At 42.7% G+C, this 15,891-nt stretch overlaps 1 protein-coding gene across 9 annotated transcripts in view; it reads right to left on the reverse strand.

Annotated features, from left to right (window-relative positions):
- The window catches only part of UQCC1 (ubiquinol-cytochrome c reductase complex assembly factor 1), a 109,396-nt gene that overhangs the window by 52,024 nt on the left and 41,481 nt on the right, over positions 1 to 15,891 (reverse strand). For all 9 annotated transcript variants that reach the window (NM_001184977.2, XM_011528878.3, NM_199487.3 and 6 more), the window contains one exon: positions 11,956 to 12,013. In NM_001184977.2, coding sequence (NP_001171906.1) covers positions 11,956 to 12,013 — 58 coding nt within the window. The remainder of the gene's footprint in view (positions 1 to 11,955; positions 12,014 to 15,891) is intronic.

Raw genomic sequence — 15,891 nt, forward strand, 5'->3', positions numbered from 1 at the left:
TAGCCAGGATGGTCTCATCTCCTGACCTCTTGATCCGCCCACCTTGGCCTCCCAAAGTGCTGGGATTACAGGCGTGAGCCACCATGCCCAGCCAAAGGAGGGCAAATTCTCATTACTCCTAAAACATTGGACCCAATAAGTTCAACAGACCTTTTATTGATGCAGAACACTAAATATTGTAACTCTTCATTTAACATCACAGATAGATTCTTGGAAACTGTAACTGTAAGCTTAACAACTTACGAAACCTATTTTACCATAGGCTAAGTGACATAAACAAGAGTTATATTCCTACAGTATATTTCTGGTCACAAAAACATCACTAAACTTCTAAATAAAGACCCAAAAGACTTCCAATATTAAACACTGAAATAATGTGAGCTATGCATACATTATGGCACGGCACACTCACACCCACACCCACTCCAATAAGGACAATTTAGACATGCTAATTCACCTTCTGTGCACATCTTTGGGATGTGGAAGGAAACAGGAGGACCCAGAGAAAACCCACCTAGACAGGGACAGAACATGCAAACTCCACACAGGCAGTGGCCCCAGATGGGAATTGTTATTTTTCTCCTCATCACTGTTATAACAAAGTGACATTGAACAGAACAATGTAATTTGAAGAAATGCTATATAAAACTCTACCGCAAATCTCATTACACATAAAGTTGTAAGACCAAAGGCAAAGAATCAGTCTTCCTATCAACCGGAAGTTACTGAAGATTCCCATGAGTTCTACTGGGAAAATAAGGTTCTGATCCACAGGGCTGTCCAATCACCAGTACAACATTCAGCTAATTAAATGCTCACCTAATTCTTTCCCTGAGTTTGTGAATCGAATTTACTAGGTAGTTAAGGACAGAAAAGCAGTCCTGTTGTGAAGGACTTTTTTGTTTATCCTCTTCAAGGGAAAAGCAGAGCTGAAGGCTGGGCCAAAATCTTAAGAAGTCAGCTGCCTGGAATGTCCAGACAAGCAGCTGAATACCAATTCTTAGGCCACCTGACCTTGAAGCCTATCACATTCAATTTACGCTTGTTTGATAACTGTTTTTAAAAGGTAATACATGTACATAGTAATAAAAACCAAGTCTCCTTCCTACCTTCATCCCCTGCCAACCCGTTCCTCTCCCAAAGACAACCTCAGCTACTAGTTTCTTAGGAATCCTTCCACATATAACCTATACACACACAAGTTTATGTATGTGTGTATTCTTTTTACATAAATGGTACCTTCTTTATCTTCCCTTTTGTGCTAGCATTCTACACATACTATCTTTTTTTTTTTTTTTTTGAAACAAGGTCTGGCTCTATCACCCAGGCTGGAAAGCAGTGGTATAATCTCAGCTCACTGCAACCTCTGCCTCCTGGGCTCAAGCCATCCTTCTACCTCAGCCTCCCAAGTAGCTGGGACTTCAAGCATGCACCACCATGCCCAGCTAACTTTTGTATTTTCTGTAGAGATGAGATGGGGTTTCGCCACGTTGCCGAGGCTGGTCTCAAACTCATAAGCTCAAGTGATCCTCCTGCCTTGGCCTCCCAAAGTGCTGGGATTATAGGCGTGAGCCACCACACCAGGCCAACATACTATTATTCTCAGACATTAAGAAAAAATTACATCTGATATTGGAATGGAAGGATGGAAGTGAAGAAATCTCAACTCCAACTCTGTGTTTCATCCACAGACACCCCAGTGAAAACTTTTGGACACCAGAGATAATAGATTACTACTAACTTATTTGACCATTATTAGGGTGACATCTGATTGACGCTGAATTCAACCAGTTAGTTTATCTGGCAATTTTTCCTATTCTAAAAATGACTAACAGGAAGAAAGAAAGAAAAAAAAAACTTAAATAGCAAAAACGGACAAGTGCTATAATTAACAGTTAACACAACTACGTGCCAGGCACTATGCCAAGTGATTTGGATGCATTATTTTTCCTAATTTTTACAACAACTCCATGAAGCTGATACTTGTGTCCTTACTGTCCTCATTTCACAGGTGAGAAAATTGAGTCCTAGAGAAGTAACTTGCCCAATGATACAAACCTAGTAAGTGCTAAAACTGAGATCTGAACCTAGACAATCTGATCCCAGAGTCCTACGAAGGTTTTTGTTGTTTTTGCCTCCTTTAATGATTAGAACAAACCCTCCAGGATCTATTGACCCTATTTTTCATTCAGTCCTCACAAGTACAGTAATTTAAGCTTCAAAACTAGCATCATATTAGAAATAGCACATCAGGAAAAAAAAAGACTGGCTAACTGGAGGCAAGCATACCTATAACAAGAGTAACTGCTAGCAGCCTAGTAGGAAAAGAGGAAATGAAAAATTTATTTAATAGAGACACGAAAAAAATAACAGAGCAATTGAGGTTCAACAGGTACAACTCAGAGACAATAGTCTGGCAAAATACAGTTAAGAGTTATCAGGACATCCTGAATCATTCAGAAAAGACTGAAGTATGTTGAATGGTAAAAGAAAACTAAATAGGCCAGGTGCAGTGGCTCATGCCTGTAATCCCAGCACTTTGAGAGGTCGAGGCAGGCAGATCACCTGAGCTCCGGAGTTCGAGACCAGCCTGGACAACATGACGAAACCTCATCTCTATAAAAAATACAAAAATTAGGCCGGGCGCAGTGGCTCACGCCTGTAATCCCAGCACTTTGGGAGGCTGAGGCAGGCAGATCACCTGAGGTCAGGAGTTCAAGACCAGCTTGACCAACATGGTGAAACCACATCTCTACTAAAAATGCAAAATTAGCTGGGCGTGGTGGCACATGCCTGTAATCCCAGCTGCTTGGGAGGCCGAGGCAGGAGAATGGCTTGAACCAGGGAGGCGGAGGTTGCAGTGAGCCGAGTTCACACCATTGCACTCCAGCCTGGCAACAGAGCAAGACTCCGTCTCAAAAAAAAATTAGTGGGGCACGGTGGTGCATGACTGTAGTCTCAGCTACAGTCTGAGGCAGGAGAATCGCTTGAGCCCCAGAGGTGGAGGTTGCAGTGAGCTATGGTAGTGCCATTGTACTCCAGCCTGGGAGACACAGTGAGACCTTGTCTCAAAAAAAAAAAAAAAAAGAAAGAAAAAGAAACAAAGAAAAATAAATAAAACAAAGTCAAAATGGTTAATAAAAATAAAAGACTTGAAGATCCTGCTACCCACTGCAAAACAAAGCCAACACCTGTCACAGACTCTGACCATATAACAATAACGTTGAGTCATTAAGTAAGCTATTTCACAATACAGCTCACTTTAACTCACATCATGGGTGTATACCCTCATAATAAATGCCTAAATTTAACATTGAGAGGTCAAATTACATTTTGCCACTGATTTAAAGTCATAATGTCAGACCTCTGTTGGAAACGAGGGGGAATTGAGAAGGGCAGGGGGCATTATGGAGGGGATAACACACTTCCATGCTAAAACATAATAAATAAAAACTGCCCTTAAGAATGCAGGCTGGGCGCGCTGGCTCATGCCTGTAATCCCAGCACTTTGGGAGGCCGAGGAGGGTGGATCACCTGAGGTCAGGAGTTTGAGACCAGCCTGGCCAACCTGGTGAAACCTCATCTCTACTAAAAATACAAAAATTAGCTGGGCATGGTGGCAGGTGCCTGTGGTCCCAGCTACTCCGGAGGCTGAGGCAGGAGAATCGCTTGAACTTGGGAGGCAGAGGTAGCAGTGAGCCGAGACTGTGCCATTGCACTCCAGCCTTGGCATCAACAGTGAGAGACTCTGTCTCAAAAAAAAAAAAAAAAAAAAAAAAGCAAAGTATCAGTGTGCCAATCTGTATCCAGGAAACAAAAAAAATGCAAAATAAACTTAAAAAAATCTTGTAATGAAAAAGATTCCTATATTAATTAACTAATCATTTATTGAACAAGTATTACTAAGCACCTACTCTGAATATAGACTGAATCTGTGCAGAAGCTACTACTCTGTTTAGGATCAAACTCAAGTTGCTCCTCCCAAGTTTGATGTGTCACCCAGGCTGGAGTGCAGTGGCATGATATTGGCTCACTGCAATCTCTGCCTCCCGGGTTCAAGAGATTCTCCTGCCTCAGCTTCCTGAGTAGCTGGGATTACAGGCACCCACCACCACACCCAGCCAATTTTTGTATTTTTAGTACAGACACGGTTTCACCATGTTGGTCAGGCTGGTCTCAAACTCCCGACCTCAAGTGATCCACCTGCCTCAGCCTCCCAAAGTGCTGGGATTACAGGCGTGAGCCACCGCGCCTGGCCTGATGATGTTCTTAAACCCACAATTTATTATTTAGGTTTTAAGCTTCACAGTACTATCCTTGTCTCTCAGTGATTCCAGTGGCTCATACATAATACTGATCTCTTTTACATATAAGAAAGGCAAATAACGCAGCTAGCAAAGTAAAGAAAAAAAGGAGTGTTCAAACCTGGCGTGCAAATATCTCTAAAAGGCAAGCATGGAGACGGGACAAAGGAAGAAAATGTCACTCACTAGGAATATCAAATAATAAAGGGCTGAAGCTATCAATCCTGCCTTATAGAAAATAATAATAATGATTACTACCATTTACTATGTTCTGTAATGTGAGACTTGTCACTGTAAGATGCATTTACATTCATTCTGTCTCTCAGGACATTATAACTGTCCCCGTTTCACAGAAAAGAAAACACACTCTGAAGAGGTTAAGTAACTTAAGGTTGCACGGTAGAGAAGAAAGAAGCTGGAATGAAGCCTGAGCTCCCCCCTTTTTCTCCCATTCTGTGATAGCACCAAGAACCTCTTCCTGCTAAATAAGACAAATCGGAAGGCAACAACACTGTCTGTAGAGTTCAAAGGAATAGGAGAGTTTCCTAGCTATGATTTCCTCCTGTCAGCCTAAATCTGGGAGGGAAGATTCTTGTTATTCCTGATGCTGACCTCCTGCCAGGTACTGGCAGCTCTGAGCATCCTGTCTCGCTCACTCTGCTTGGGCCCTCTGACAATGCCAGTTGTGTTTTGGCCTTGTTTCTCCCACATGATAGTTTATAAGCTGCTTAGAGTAGATCTGATTTTGAATTAATAAAGACTAGCAGGCACTTGGGCAGGTTCGTCACTCTGGCTGCTATGAAGGAATCCCAAAGGGGACTTTCACACAGCATGTTTCCCTTACTCTGTCACCAGCTGAGGCCAAGAAAGCAGAGCCTAGATGGCTACACTCAAGCCCCAGCAGTGTGCTAATGAATGAGTTTATTGATCTGTAAGCTGGCACACTGACCCTTTTCCAGGGCTGTGTACATGGCTATCTCCACCTGGTTTCCCAAACTCCCTCACTATGAAGCCTAACCCTTCTGGGGGGAGCATGAGGGCCACAGGACAGCCTGTGGGCAAACAGACAAGTTGGGTGAGGCACTTCCTGAAGCCATCTCACCTGACAACGAGCCTCCTCCAAGAGCTACACCTGGCCTGCAGCTTGCCTGTCAGATCCACTATAAAGAATAAGCCCCTGGGTACCAGGTATCAGCGCACTTAGGGTATGCAATGCTGGTAAAATGCTGCTGCATAGGCCTTTGGTTTGGGCAAGAAAGCTACAAGCGTGGGTGTTTGAACACTGCAACTCTGGCTGGGGGAGGGCAAAAGAGGATGTGCACATGGCCAGGGCTCACCATGTATAGCAGGCCTGGGGTTGCTGGAATCCAGCAGAAGCCTGAATGCCCTACAGCTACATCAAAAGTGCTGTGGTGGTTTTAAAGAGCCTCTGCAGAGGCTGCCAGTGTCTGCCGGTGCAGTTCTCTGGCTGCGCTGAGACTGGCACCAGTCTGCTTTCTAACCCTTTCCCATCCCCACACTTTAATTCCTTCTTTTCTTTCCCAAAGGCTTCTTCCCTTCAGCTTATGAAATCATTCCAGTGTTTCCCCATTTTAAAATAAAAAACAATTAATGCTTCCCTTCTGAACTGTTTTTCCCTCAAGCGATCATCCCCTCATTTGAAACTTCTTGAAAAGTAGTTTACAATAACTTCTTTGCCTCTTAATTACTCCTCAATCCCATATAGTCTGTTCTGGCCCCCAGAAGGCCAAGGCAACTGCTTTCCTTGACCATCCCCAGGCAACCCCCCTTCCCCCGTGATCCCATATAATCTGTACATCACCCTGTGCTAGTTTCAGGTTTACCTGTGGCCTCTCCCAGGACACAGATAGTGAGCGCCAAGAAACACGGGGCCCATCATACAGCTGGTGATCCGTAAATGTTTGCTGTGCTCATATGACATGTTCATACTCAGGGGAAGAGACCCCTATCCCCTGACCACCAAATAGGACAATCAGAAAGGAAGCAAAGTGTTTAGAAGGGGCAGGTAACCATAGTTAACTTCAGAGTTGTCTCGGGTCAGCCACTACTGAGTAAGTGGCCTGAGACAATTCCTTAAAATTGCCAAAACTGTCTCCCCATTTGCAAAATGAGAGAATTGGACTAGATCTGTAGTTTTTAAACTACATTCTGAGTTTCCATGGAACTACTTAACAGTCTTTTTTCAGTGGACATGTTGTGAAGATGTGAAGCAAGCAGGTCATTCCCACCTCCTTTCATCATATTTATCATATATGGTGGCTGAGCATAAGATTTCATTTTTAAAAAGGACTCTGCTGATAAAAAGTTTGAAAACCACTAGATCCCTCTACCTGGAAGGCTTTTTCATCCACTCTTTCACTTGCTAACTTCTACTCACCCTTTAGGTGTCAATGTAAATGTCCTCTTCAGTGAAGCCTTCCCTGACTGACCCACCCCTAAACTAAATGAGGTTCCCAGCTTCTCCCACATAGCCTTGTCACATCCTCTCATTGCACCTATCACAGTTGTATTTTATTAGTGATTTGTTTAATGTCTCTCTTCTCACCTAAGCCTTAAGAGGGCACGAAATAAATTTGTCTGCTGTACACAGTACCTTCAATCAAGAGAATAAATGCCATAATTTTATGAATCTATGTTTAAGTAGGTACTTTAGTATTAATTAACATTAATTTAAGTATTTAATTAGTTACTTTAGTAGTTATAATTACTAAAGAGGAAAGCAACTTAATGCTTTCAGTTAGCCAGACCAGCACCTGAATTTCCTCTCCACCACATTCTAACTACTTCTTTGGGAAAGTTCTCTGACTTCTCTAAGCCCCTGATCCCTCATATGTAAAATGAGAATAAAGTAGTTGTGAGCATGTGTGAAATAATGTATGTAAATAAATAAATGATAATATACATAAAACACCTAGTAGTAATTGTATTTATGAAATACCTGACTTTAAAATAATCTTTAAAAACAGACTACATTTTACTCCCTCTCCATCGTACCTCCATCATAGGTATGTTCCAATTTTATTTGTTCCATTCCATTTTGTAAAATTAATTTCTGCACTGAGAAGGTACTAGTGCTCCATGACAATTTGAAAAGGGGAGTCTCTACAAATCTGTTAACACTTACAATGCCAACACAAATTCCAACTACATAAATCTCCCTGCCCAGAAGGGAAGGTTTCAAAGCAGAGATAATACCTGAATTGGATACTGAAGGAAAAACAGGAATTTGTCAAGTGGAGAGGCGGGGGAAGGGCCTTCTAGGCAGAAGAAACTTTGTGCAGAAGACTTGATATTTCTACTACATAGTTTTGCTTTTTCTTGCAGAGAAGGGAGTAGTGATGGTAATAGTGCCTAAAATAGCAACAAATGAGACTAGTAAAGGCACCATAGGTCACATTTGATCAGATGTGAATGCCATGATATGAAACTTTTATTTTATTTTATTTTCCGAGATGAAGTCTCGCTCTGTCGTCTAGGCCGGAGTGCGTGGCGCCATCTCGGCTCACAGCAACCTCAGCTTCCCAGGTTCAAGCGATTCTCATGCTTTAGCCTCCTGAGTAGCTGGGACTACAGGTGCCCGCCACCATGCCTGGATAATTTTTTTGTATTTTTATTAGAGACAGGGTTTCACCATGTTGGCCAAGCTGGTCTTGAACTCCTAACCTCAGGTGATCTGCCCACCTCAGCCTCCCAAAGTGCTGGGATTACAACCGTGAGCCACTGGGCCCGGCCAAAACTTGTATTTTATTCTGAGAACAATGGAGAACATTAAGGAGTGAGTGCATGTGTGTGCGTGTGTGTGTGTCTGTTTGTGTACTGACCCCATTTGTACTGAGAAGGCCAATGGAATGGGGATAGGGAAGCTAGAGGCCAAAGACCACTTTTCAAGTACTGTTGGTTGCAACTCAGTGAAATCAATTTAGTGGGTGACATTATCAATGTCTGTTTAAAATGAATTCAAATGGAATAGAAAATATCAGGGGTTCCCTCTCTCAGCCTTGGAGCCTCCTCCCTCTGTCTCTGTACAGGGGAGCTGCTTCTTTCTTCCTTCCCCCTTCTTTCTTTTCTTTCTTGCCTATTAAACTCCTTGCTCCTTAAAACTAAAAAAAAAAAAAAAAAAAAGAAAGAAAGAAACAAAAGAAAATATCAGAGATTACCTGACATTATAAGGATAAATTTTACAGAACTTCTGTATCAGATTCATGTGTCCATTCTGGTCACAAAGTAACATGCATTTGTTACGATGGGTCAGAGTCAAAAAAATTTTGAGTTAGGTGACTGAGCAGGTGAAGGGGTGAGAGAAGAGACAAATGAGGGCTCCCAGGTTTCTGGTGTGGGCATGATGCCAGTGGCCAAGACAGGATATAGGGGAGGAGGCCTGCTTTTATCAAGTCCACGTGGGGATGCTAGACAGCGCAGACAGTGGCCTCTCTCAGCATTTTTTCAGCAGCCACAGTCAATACTAATCTTGTTCAGCAAAGACAATGAACACATAGTCATTGCAGCTGCAAGCTCAAGTGAGTATACAACTGATAAGGGTCCTCTAGGAGCTGGAGGGTGTCCCAGTCCTAAATCCTAAACCACAGAAAAACTGTGAAACTAAAAAAATCAGACAGGATAAGTGAAACACCATTTCCTCCAGGGAACTAACAGGGTGTGAGAAATCTTGTCCTTATTCTAAGAGTCAACAGGGAACCCTTACCCTTGGGAACCTAAGCAAACCTTCTGAAATGTCAGCGACCAGGGTATTTTTGTTTATTAGTAGTTTGTTTGGTTTTGGTTTTGTTTGGCGGAGGAGGCATTATTTCTACTTTTCTGTTTTCTAAGCCTCCTCCCCCACCCCACACTACCACCTCCAAGAGGTACTTCAACCCCTATGCCTCCAGCAAGTCCACTGAGTCCTGTAATCTTGATGTGGCTATCCTTCGGTTACCCTCCTGGAGCTTCAGGCTAAGAGAGCAGGGCCAATAGAACATGGCTTCTCCACAGACTTGGGGTGGATCCATCATTCCTCCTAACAGCCTGCCCACCCCGCCCCTGCACGATTCCATTAGAAGAAAGACTTCTCCGATTCTTGGAGGATCACAGCACAACTGAGCCCCAAACTAACTACTTTCCTGGTGACCCTTCCACTACATTCCTCAATAAACCTGCCCCAGACACATCAGGCAACTGGCTGCCCTCAAATACTCCATGTTCTTGTACACATTCTATCTTTTGCTCCTATTATTCCCTCAATCTAAAATGCCCACCCTTTCTCTGACAGAAATTCTAGTCACTCTTCGTGGTGCATCTCAAATGTCACCTCTACCACAAAGCCACTCTTTATCCAACACTCCACCCCATCACCAAATCTGGATTTAGTTACACCACTTTGTGCTTCCACTGCATCTGCCTGTGTCTTGGGCACAGCATTTCTTTCACTGGCATGCATTATAGGCAATCGTGCTTTATGTCTGTTTTCCATTAGACTTACATTTCTTGAAGATACAGACACAGAGTCTGTATCTGATTTGCCCAAAAGAAATTACCAGAAAAGAATGCATGTCATACCCTTCTCTCCAACATCCCATGGTCCTGCACACATAGGAGGTCCTCAAGAAGAGTGCTGATTCAAACTGAAAAGCTACAGATTCTTTCCACCAAAACCTGCATATCATCAGAACTAGGCGAGAGAAAGAGTGGAAGGGGAATCAAGTATAGATTTGAAGCAGACAGCTTCCCTCTCTCAATTGAACTGGGGGTGGTACACCCTACTCCTCAGAAATTAAACCAACCTCAGCAAGGAAGATTAAGCAGGCACAGTTTGGAAACTTTAAAGAACTATAAGTAGTTTCAAGGTTCTCCCATCTGCTGTTAGTCAGGTATTGACCTTGGGATGTGGTCACAGGGATTATATATTTTATTTTATTTTGCCATCCACTCCCTCTAACACTGATACCTCTAGCTATATGGGCAATAAAGAGTCTTTCATACAGGTTCTGAATATTATCTTTGAGTTCCCCTAGCCTTCTTGCAACCCTCCCACCTTTCCAGTGAGTAATTTTACAGTGCCACCTCTACAGTCCTCCTCTCCTAAAAAAGCACTTTTTCCCTTCAATATATGCAGCTTCCTTCCCTGAACGCTATGCCTTACCCTTCACCATTCAGACAACAAGATGGCAGGCAGTGTGCCTTTTAAGCTACCTGATGCGTGGCACATTTCAAAGAACTAACAGGTAGAAGTATAAGGGTTTTGATAGTTGCAGCTTCCTTTGTGATCCTATAAGTACTTCTTACTCATATTTATTATATAACTTAGGCATTCTGATTTATAATTGACCATTTTACACATCTTATCTCCCTCACTAGACTGTGAGCTTCTTGAGAACTATTCCCTAGTTCCCACAAAGTGCCCAGGATATGGTGTGCACTTACTAAACTACTGCTTAGAAAAAGATAGCATAGGCTGGGCACGGTGGCTCACGCCTGTAATCTCAGCACTTTGGGAAGCCGAGGTAGGTGGATCACTTGAGGTCAGGAGATTGAGACCAGCCTGGCCAAGATGGTGAAACCCTGTCTCTACTAAAAATACAAAAAAATCATATGGGCGTGGTGGTGGGCTCCTGTAATCCCAGCTACTCGGAGGGCTGAGGCACAAGAATCACTTGAACCTGGGAGACGGAGGTTGTAGTGAGCCACAACTGCACCACTGCACTTCAGCCTAGGCAGCACAGTGAGACTATGTCTAAAAAAAAAAAAAAAAAAGCATAAAATAAACTGCCACCTTAGGCCCCTAAGCCAAACTCAGTGTAACTGTGTGAGTACAGAGGAAGAAACATTTCAGAGGTGATCAAAACCAAAAAGTATATAGTAGTCAGTTGTATGATGCAAAGGTTCAGCTGAAGGCAGTCTCAAACAAGGGTCCTTTTGACAGGGCAGCCATTCCCATGTTCCTCAGATACTCACTATGGTCAAAGTAGTAAACTTAGTTCTCCAGAATTTACTTTCCCAAGATCTGGCAGTTCAATAAATACATTCCCCAGCCCCTGACTTCAACGACTCTCCTATATCCTTCTGACCTTTAATACTGTGTAACATTAGATGAAAAATTGATTTTTTTTGGCTACTTATTTCACAGCTGAAGAAAAAATATACTGTTTAAGGTGTTAAATATTTTTACATGCAACAAACCTGGCATGAAGCTAACTTGTATGCACATTTTAGAGGTACAGGCGTAAATGTCAGTGCTATAATTTGTTATAGGTTTCTGATGACCAGCAATGAAAATGACCACGGATTCTCACAATTCAAACCACTTTTACGTAAATGTGAACTTTCCTAAAACAGCCAAGGGAGAGAAAACTTTCCATCCAAGCTCATAGAGTGTGTTAAGAGATACTGATAGCATTGTTCACTGGGTTAGGTGTTCTCTGAAAAAATCCTACAAATATTAGTTTCCTTCTGGGCTTATGCTTTGACCTTTAATAAAAATGTGCTTCAAGACACCAGTTATTAAAATGAAAGGAACAGTTTTTAACACCTGAACAACTGCCATTTCATATAATCAGCCCTCCTGAAGGCTATACCTTACAAGTCAGCAGTGTTTAAAAAAATACATTTGGTGACTTCATTTAAATTGCTCACTTACCAGACGTGGAGTAGGGTTATAAGAAACCATGAATTGAATGTATCAGGCATCTGACACCCTAGAAAATAACAATAAGGTATAAGTATGTGAGGGTTTAAAGGAAGCATATTGACCATATATTAAATATTGGCAGGCACGGCACTTATGGTGCTCTCTGATTATGCTATTGCAGAAAAGTCCAGTAGAACAATAGGGCGAGACCACAGGATAAAAGAACTTTGAATCATAGCACGCCAGGAGTAAAAGAAAAAAAAAGGATGGATGCGGTGGCTCATGCCTGTAATTCCAGCACTTTGGGAGGCCGAGGTGGGCAGATCACCTCAGGTCAGGAGATCAAGACCAGCCTGGCCAACATGGCGAAACCCCATCTCTACTAAAAATACAAAAATTAACCAGGCGTGGTGGTGGGCGCCTGTAATCCCAGCTACTGAAGAGGCTGTGGCAGGAGAATTACTTGAACCTGGGAGGCGGAGGTTGCAGTGAGCCAAGATCACGTCACTGCACTCCAGCCTGGGCAATAGAGTGAGACTCTGTCTAAAAAAAAAAAAAAAAACAAACAAAAAAACAACCCATTGAATTTAGTCAGACCACCAGCCTTCTAGTTCCAGCCCTGTTACCAGCTTGTTATGTGGCCTTGGACAAATCACTTCTCCCCTTTGAGTCTTGGTTTTCTCACTTTGCAGAATGTGGCCTAGATGATTTCTATGGTTCCTTCCAGCTTCCGTGTGCTTCTACAGTATTTTCCCTCCATGGGCTTGAATTCTGAAAAGCTAGGCAAACACTCCCTTACTTTTTTCAGTTGGGCTCCACTGAGAAGCTTAAGTCTTTCTAGTATCCTTTTCCTGTCTTCTTTCTCTAAGGTACCCAATGTGCTATGGATATGGGTGTGCTAAATGATTTGCCCAAAAGAAATGACCAGGAGCTGGGTGCAGTGGCTCACACTTGTAATCCCAGCACTTAGGGAGGCTGAGGTGGGTGGATTGCTTGAGCCCAGGAGTTTGAGACCAGCCTGGGAAACATAGTGAGACCCCATCTCTACAAAAAACTACAAACATTAGCTAGGCATGGTGGCATGCACCTATAGTCCCAGTTACTTGGGAGGCTGAGGTGGAATGATCACTTGAGCCAGGGAGGTAGAGGTTACAGTGAGCCAAGATCATTTAACTGTACTCACGCCTGAGTGACACAGCAAGACCCTGTCTCAAAAATAAGAAAAAAGAAAAAGAAAAGATCAGGCGAAAAAAATCAGGGCTCTAGGGAGCTGCAGCTGAATAAGAAAGCATATTGTACTTACTGAAAGGCTGTTCATCACCCCCCCAGAAATGACAAAACTGGGAAGGGCTTCTCCTTGGTTTCAGATCCCACAAATTAGTTCTGTGCTCAGACATCAAAGCCTCTCAATTCTCACTCAGCTAAGAAAAGCCTCCTGCTGGATGAGGGGTCTCCCACTGAATGTGCCCGCCTTATTACATAACAGGGAGAAAAGCCAGAGCAAGAGGAAGATGCAAAAAGAGAATAAGTGGGGAATTTGGGCCCTTATGGTAGAATCTGTCCTTTGGGGCAATGACTCAAGAAAGAAGCGCTATCCTCTGCTTTTCAGCAACCATCAAGGTACATGATGTACTAAATGATAACAAAGAGGGGACACTAGGAGATAACACATAGGCCCGGACCCCCATGAGGTACATTAACAGCACCAATAATAAAGAGCTGTAATTCACTGCGGGCTTACTATGTGCCAGATGTTCTACTGGGTTCTTTACATCCATGAGCTCAATGAATCCTCCCAATAACCCTGAGGTAGGCATTGATATTATCCCAAATTGACAGGTAAGAAAACTGACTCAGAGAGACCAAGACAATTGCTGTTCAAGGTCATACAGCTATGAAAAGAGACACCTGAGATCAAATTCAGATCTACTTGATTCCAAACACTGTGTTCTTAATCCTGCTCTAACAGCCTCTCTAATACCACTATCAGAAACTAACTCACTAAGGGCCCATCTGCATACCAGATCTACTGCAAGCCATGTCAATACATTATCTCACTCAATCCTCACTTTAACCCTGGAGGGAAGCATTATAATCCTCATTTTAGAGATGAGGAAACAGACTCAAACTAAGTAACGTGTGGGCAGCCACAATATTAACAAGCTAGTGGCAGGGCTGCAGTTTGAATCCAAGTCTGTCACAAAGTGACACCAAAATACTTTGGTGAGCTTACTGGGAGGTGCCTAGCAGCTGTCAAGTCGACTTCCTCTCAGAGCCCAGCAGGAGGGAGCTGAAGGCTGGCCTGGCCAGCCATACAGCTATTAAGACACATGCCATCTGAGAATGGGCCAACCACCCTCCACCTAGACAAGAATAGCCCTGAGAAACTCTGAAGCCCGGATCTGAAGTTGGGTCTTTTTTGGATGCTAGAACAAAACATTAAAAAGAAAAATTTTCTTGGAAGTCTGTCTTTCAATCTGGAAAATGAAATTTGGCTGCTTCTAAAGGACAATCTGTTCAATTGCTACCTCTACATCAAAGCTTCTCAGCAGCCTCCAGGAGCCTTTCCAATTTTCTCAGAGAGGGAATCAGTTCTTGGGCTGGAAAGCACAGACAGACAGGCCAGCAGCTGGACTTGGGTCACCATTTCCCCTTCTGGGGTCACCTCAGGGCTGAGGGTGGGAAAAGTGCTGGCATATGATTGAGTCCCTATACACACTGGTGTCAGAACAGAAACCCACAGGGTAAAGCCCTAAAAAGTAACACCATTGACTGTTGACTGTGAACTATGCAAAAATACAGCAGATTCTTTAGTTCAATGAAATGCATTTAAACACTTCAAAGTTAAAACCTGCTGTAGTATTTTGCCATGATCACACTCTTGCTCCAATGCACATTCAGTGCTTTAGTTTCTGAAGCTAGGCACTTTCTTTCTTGACATCAAGTTGGATACAATTAAATAGTTCATTACTGTTATGGGGTGGCAGCATAACACAGTTGTACATTTAATGTGGGGTCAGACTGCCTGATTCAATTCTTTGACTCTACCTCTCACTCACTATGTGACACTGGGTAAAATTACTCAATTTTCTTCTCTGTAAAAATGAGAAAAACAAGATAACTGACCTTGTAAGATTTTTGTGAGAATGAGATAAGGCCTATAAAATGTTTAGCAAAATGGTTAGTATTAAGTTAGTAGGTACTCAATAAATATTCACTATTGTTGGTTTTCAGCAAATTATTTAAATAGTAGAATTGAAATTATCTTTGAAAAACCCCACTAATTATTTCAGATTGTATCAGTGATAAACCTCAACCACAGACTCAGAATGTATTCATTAAGGAGCCTCCTCTCCAAGGCCTCCAGTCTCTTAAGGGTTAAAGACAAAGCAGTCTGCAGACAACACTGTGGAATTCAACAGGAGCTCTACTGATTGACCACCTCTGCTCCAAAGTGCTCTTCACAGCAAACATCTCTAAAAGACCAGTCAGCAAACCGCAGTGTACTCATCAGTGCAACATGCTCAGACAAAAGACATCCTCAAAATATCTAAGAAACAGCGGGCTGCTGAATTCTCAGGACTCCAAAAGTTAAGCCCTAAAATACCACAAGTCCAAGTGAGCAATGACCACTTTAAAAAGTACAATCTTGGGAAGCAATATATATATACTGCTTTCTCTTGTTTCTTTTTTTTTTTTTTTCTGCCCAGGCTGGTCTTGAACTCCTCAGCTCAAGGGATCCTCCTGCCTTGGCTTCCCAAACTGCTGGGATTACACGTGTGAGCCACTGCACCCAGCCCCTTTCTCTTATTTCAAACCTGTCTGGCCTACTCTTTAGAATCCAAGCCACAGGAAAGTCAGTGTAATTATTTGAAAGATATTTGTCATCTTCTGCATCCAGAAGGTATATTCCAGATTTGTTCCCTTTTTATTCACTAGCCACAG

This window comes from Homo sapiens, chromosome 20 (genome assembly GCF_000001405.40).
Source record: "Homo sapiens chromosome 20, GRCh38.p14 Primary Assembly".
In the NCBI taxonomy this organism is placed as follows: domain Eukaryota; kingdom Metazoa; phylum Chordata; class Mammalia; order Primates; family Hominidae; genus Homo; species Homo sapiens.